The 5,490-nt window shown below is 40.7% G+C and overlaps 1 pseudogene; it reads right to left on the bottom strand.

Moving 5' to 3' along the window:
* Positions 1-770: 770 nt before the first annotated feature.
* PGAM4P1 (phosphoglycerate mutase family member 4 pseudogene 1) lies at positions 771-1,620 on the bottom strand (annotated as a pseudogene).

The raw sequence follows: 5,490 nt of genomic DNA, 5'->3' as shown, positions 1-5,490 counted from the left end.
AAGAGGGAAAAGGGGAAGGTGCCATACACTTTCAAACAACCAGGTCTTGTGAGAACTCACTCACTATCATGAGAACAGCAAGGGGGAAATATGCCCCCATGATTTAATTACCTCCCACCAGGCCCCTTCTACAACATTGGGATTTACAATTCCACATGAGATTTGGGCAGTAACACAAATTCAAACCATATCGGGAGGAATTCCAAAATACACAGCAGGATGTATTCCTATCCCTTACAAGTCAAGGAGATTATCTGATATTGGTGTGAGGAAGGGCTTATTTTCTGATAACCACATGTGGGACTATTTCAACCACCACTAGAAACCCCAGGAGGGTTTTTGTTTCATATTATTTCTATACTTTTTTTGTAAAAGTAAATGCAACAAAAATTTAATTCAGGATTGATCTCAATCTTCAAGTGGAGCCAGCTCCTCTGGGGTCAGGAAGGAAACAGGGTTTTTTTGTTTGGTTTGGGGATTTTTTTATTTTACATCACCATGCAGGTTACGTTCATCTTCCACTGGAATGACTAGAGTACCCCAGTAAGTGGCCTGACTACAGAAGAACACAAGATTGCCTCCTAAGGGCAAACAGGCTCTCTTGCTTCTCCTCATCGGCCATGCCTTAGCATGTTTTCTTCCTATCCCTTACTAAAGCAGGTCCTTTGCACACAAAACCCTGGTAAAAACCTGAGTCACTACCTCTCAGCCCTCTTGGATAAGTGGAGATTTCCCTGGGCTTGGACTGAGCCCCTTGCCCCAGAGGTGCTATCCTGTCTGGATTGTTTGAAGAGAGTGGGTGCAGGAGACAAATGGCTGAAATGAAAATGGGAGCCATCAGTCCCCATCTGCATCTACAACTTCAGATGCCTACAGATGTGGTCAATGTGACGTACAGGAAGTAGGGGCAGAAGAAGGGATGGGCAGGGAGGGTGCTTCTGAGGACACTAGTCTGCCTGATGGTCTTCACTTCTTGGCCTTGCCCTGGGCAGCCACAGCTTCCATGGCTTTACACATAGCCTCTTCATCCCCTAAGAACTGCATGGACTTGATGGGGTTCAAGTTCTCGGCCAATTCATAGGCAATGGGAATACCAGTAAGCAGGTTCAGTTCCATGATAGCCACTTCAGAGAGACCCTCCAGATGCTTGATAATGCCTGTAAGGCTGTTGTCATGGGCTTCAATCAATATCCAATTCCTCTTCTTTATCTGGGGAACTATATCTTCATTCCAAAAGGCCAGAGCTCTTGCAATAGTATCCTTCAGACTCTCACAAGAGGGTAGTTGATCTTCAGTGAGGTCTGTATACCTGCAATCCTTACTAATGCTGCTATAGAAGGGGTGGTAGGGCTCCATCAGAGGTGGTGAGACATCATAAGAGCACATCTACATCTTTACCTAGGCCTCACCATTCTTGGCAGCAGTTTCTGCTTTATGGAGTCTGGTCAGACCCCCATAGTGCCATTCACTGAGGCGCCAAGTCCTCACTACAGGCCACTACATTGGGTCAATAGCATGCACAGTGTCCAGAGAGTCCAGATTGCTCTCTTCTGCGCTGATGGGAAGCCAGCATCTGGCAGCACCTGCCCACCCTGATTCACCTCCTCATGGTCTGCTGGGTGCTCTTGCTGTGGAACCTGGAGTGGCCGTGGCCGTGGGCTCACAATTCTTGATAATGTATTTTCTGGGATTTTTTTTTTTTTTTTTACTGTCTTAGATGGCTTTAAACTAGGACAACCTTGAAGTCATTCAAGTCAACAAAGAAGTCAAGGTCCTATGAAAAATTGAAGTTCAGTGCTCAGACTGCCTATAACAAATAAATGAGCAGCAGCATCAGTGAAGAAAAATATGAAAAAAAAAAAAAAAAACAAGTTGAAGTAGTGAGGCTCAAAGGAAAAAAGCCAAGACTGTTTTGGCACGTGGGAAAGAAAAGCTGGAGGAAGGTTTTAGTTAAAAACCTCACAAGCCAGTGTTTGCTTAGCTGTCCTTCCCATTAACTTCCATTAAGTGCATGGGGACTCTATTTTGATGCTGGGTGCCCTATGCCCTCAGAATTCCCTGAGACTCCATGGGCAGGAGGTTAAAATTTCTTTCCACGGCCAGTTCTGTGTTTGGATGGTGTGGTCATAAAGGATTATCTAAACTCGTATGCTTTGAAACCTATCTTGTCAGGGAGCAGAAAAGAAATAGGTATTTCTCAAGCCCAGAACAGTATTATAATTTAAATACATGGTTTGTTATGACAATATGCAACATAATATATTTGAGTTAGTAGAAGAAGATAAATAAAAGAGCATTAAAGATGGTAGCACAAATGAAAAGAAAAAGAATAAATTATTTAAATTTCTCATAACAGCAGTAAGCAAGAAAGGACTTGAAGTTAAACTGGAAACATCAACATGAACTCGCACCCTTAAAAACTTTCACTTTGTTACTTAAATCATTCAGATTGCCTCTCCCTACCAACAGTAGTCATGTAGAAAAATCTAAAACCCCCCCTAATCCCCCAGATCTTTTTTTTTCTGCCAAACGGAATCAGGGTTCCTTGAGCAGTAGACGAAAGAAAGCAAAATGTTCCTACAAACATCTTATTGTCATAAAGCAAGGATGCTTTCACAAATATCTCTGGGACATTTCAAAAAGACAAAGACAAATTTTAAAGCTATATATTGGTCAGGCATGGTGGCTCACGCCTGTAATCCCAGCGCTTTGGGAGGCCAAGGTGGGTGGATCACTTGAGGTCAGGAATTCAAGACCTGCCTGGCCAACATAGTGAAACCCCGTGTCTACTACAAATCCAAAAATTAGCTGGACATGGTTGCGGGTGCCTGTAATCCCAGCTACTCGGGAGGCTGAGGCAGGAAAATCGCTTGAACCCGGGAGAGGCAGAGGTTGCAGTGAGCCGAGATCACACCACTGCACTCCAGCCTGGGTGACAGAGCAAGACTCTGTCTAAAAAAAACAAAAAAAAGAAAAGAAAAGAAAAGCTACATATTCTTTGAACCAACAACTGTACTTATAGGAATTTATATCACAAATACACTCAAACATGTACAAAAGGTGAAGAAATTCACTGCAGCAATATTTGTAGCAGAAAAGGTTGGAAACAACCTAAATGTCCATCAATAAGAAACTGGTTAAATAAATTGCAGTGTATTAATACAACAGAATACTGTAAAACCACCAGAAGAAAAAAGGTAAGATCCTATGTCCATTGAAATGGAATATCGCCAAGATATATTGTTAAATGAAAAAAGCAAGATACATGTCAGTACACATAGAATACTGCCATTTCAGTGACAGTGAAAGGTATATATGCTTGAATATACCTATAATATATCGGAAAGAATGCAAGAAACTAGAAACAGTAATTGCCTCTAAGGAAAGGAAGTGGGTAGCTGGGGGACTGGAGAGTAAAGGAGACTTATTTTTCAGTGAATACTCTTTTGTGCTATTTGACATTTTTGTTACTATGTGCATGTATTACTTTTTAAAAATAAGATTTAAAGATTTCTTTTCATTATGTCAATGATTTTAGTCTAGAGATACCTTCCAATAATCAAGTAGTAAACAACTTTAACATTAAAATGAATGATTATAGTCAACAGAAACAGAACTCTGCAAAAACAGCCTTGAGTCCATCACATGAGCTAAGACAACTAAATTCCTTTGAAAATGATTATGCACTGATGTGACCACAATCCAGATAGGCGCCAGAGCATAGTTTGTGCCAGTCACAATTTCATAGTTACATTACATTTATGTGTTTTTAATATGGCTAAATATCAATCCACAGGCAACTTTAACACAATCCCAAACTCTACTAAATGATAGTAAAAGAAAAAGAACCATAAAAGCCCATGGGGGTAAAGGGAGTGGGAAATAAAACAATAATAGATGAGATTTCAGCAAGTTCTGGAGAGACAAAAAGCAGATTGATAAGCAATAATTAACTTAGCAGAGGAAAGGAAGGAAAAATTTGAATGCCACCAAGGAACAAGTCATTTCGCCCCCATAGAACTGAGGAAGAATTGTAGCCTTGTGGTATAGTTTGAAGTCAGGTAGCATGATGCCTCCAGCTTTGTTCTTTTGGCTTAGGGTTGACTTGGCGATGCGGGCTCTTTTTTGGTTCCATATGAACTTTAAAGTTTTTTCCAATTCTGTGAAGAAAGTCATTGGTAGCTTGATGGGAATGGCATTGAATCTATAAATTACCTTGGGCAGTATGGCCATTTTCACAATATTGATTCTTCCTATCCATGAGGATGGAATGTTCTTCCATTTGTTTGTATCCTCTTTTATTTCATTGAGCAGTGGTTTGCAGTTCTCCTTGAAGAGGTCCTTCACATCCCTTGTAAGTTGGATTCCTAGGTATTTTATTCTCTTTGAAGCAATTGTGACTGGGAGTTCACTCATGATTTGGCTCTCTGTTTGTCTGTTATTGGTGTATAAGAATGCTTGTGATTTTTGCACATTGATTTTGTATCCTGAGACTTTGCTGAAGTTGCTTTATCAGCTTAAGGAGATTTTGGGCTGAGACATGGGATTTTCTAGATGTATAATCATGTCATCTGCAAACAGGGACAATTTGACTTCCTCTTTTCCTAATTGAATACCCTTTATTTCCTTCTCCTGCCTGATTGCCCTGGCCAGAACTTCCAACACTATGTTGAATAGGAGTGGTGAGAGAGGGCATCCCTGTCTTGTGCCCGTTTTCAAAGGGAATGCTTCCAGTTTTTGCCCATTCAGTATGATATTGGCTGTGGGTTTGTCATAAATAGCCCTTATTATTTTGAGTTATGTCCCATCAATACCTAATTTATTGAGAGATTTTAGCATGAAGGGTTGTTGAGTTTTGTCAAAGGCCTTTTCTGCATCTATTGAGACAATCATGTGGTTTTTGTCTTTGGTTCTGTTTATATGCTGGATTACATTTATTGATTTGCATATATTGAACCAGCCTTGCATCCCAGGGATGAAGCCCACTTGATCATGGTGGATAAGCTTTTTGATGTGCTGCTGGATTCGGTTTGCCAGTATTTTATTGAGGATTTTTGCATCGATGTTCATCAAGGATATTGGTCTAAAATTCTCTTTTTTGGTTGTGTCTCTGCCCGGCTTTGGTATCAGAATGATGCTGGCCTCATGAAATGAGTTAGGGAGGATTCCCTCTTTTTCTATTGATTGGAATAGTTTCAGAAGGAATGGTACCAGCTCCTCCTTGTACCTCTGGTAGAATTCAGCTGTGAATCCATCTGGTCCTGGACTCTTTTTGGTTGGTAAGCTATTGATTATTGCCACAATTCAGAGCCTGTTATTGGTCTATTCAGAGAGTCAACTTCTTCCTGGTTTAGTCTTGGGAGGGTGTATGTGTCAAGGAATTTATCCATTTCTTCTAGACTTTCTAGTTTATTTGTGTAGAGCTGTTTGTAGTATTCTCTGATGGTAGTTTGTATTTCTGCGGGATCGGTCGTGATATCCCCTTTATCA

Source organism: Homo sapiens, chromosome X (genome assembly GCF_000001405.40).
Source record: "Homo sapiens chromosome X, GRCh38.p14 Primary Assembly".
In the NCBI taxonomy this organism is placed as follows: domain Eukaryota; kingdom Metazoa; phylum Chordata; class Mammalia; order Primates; family Hominidae; genus Homo; species Homo sapiens.
The sequence above is the reverse complement of the archived record's forward strand: the minus strand, read 5'-3'. Positions and strand labels throughout refer to the sequence as shown.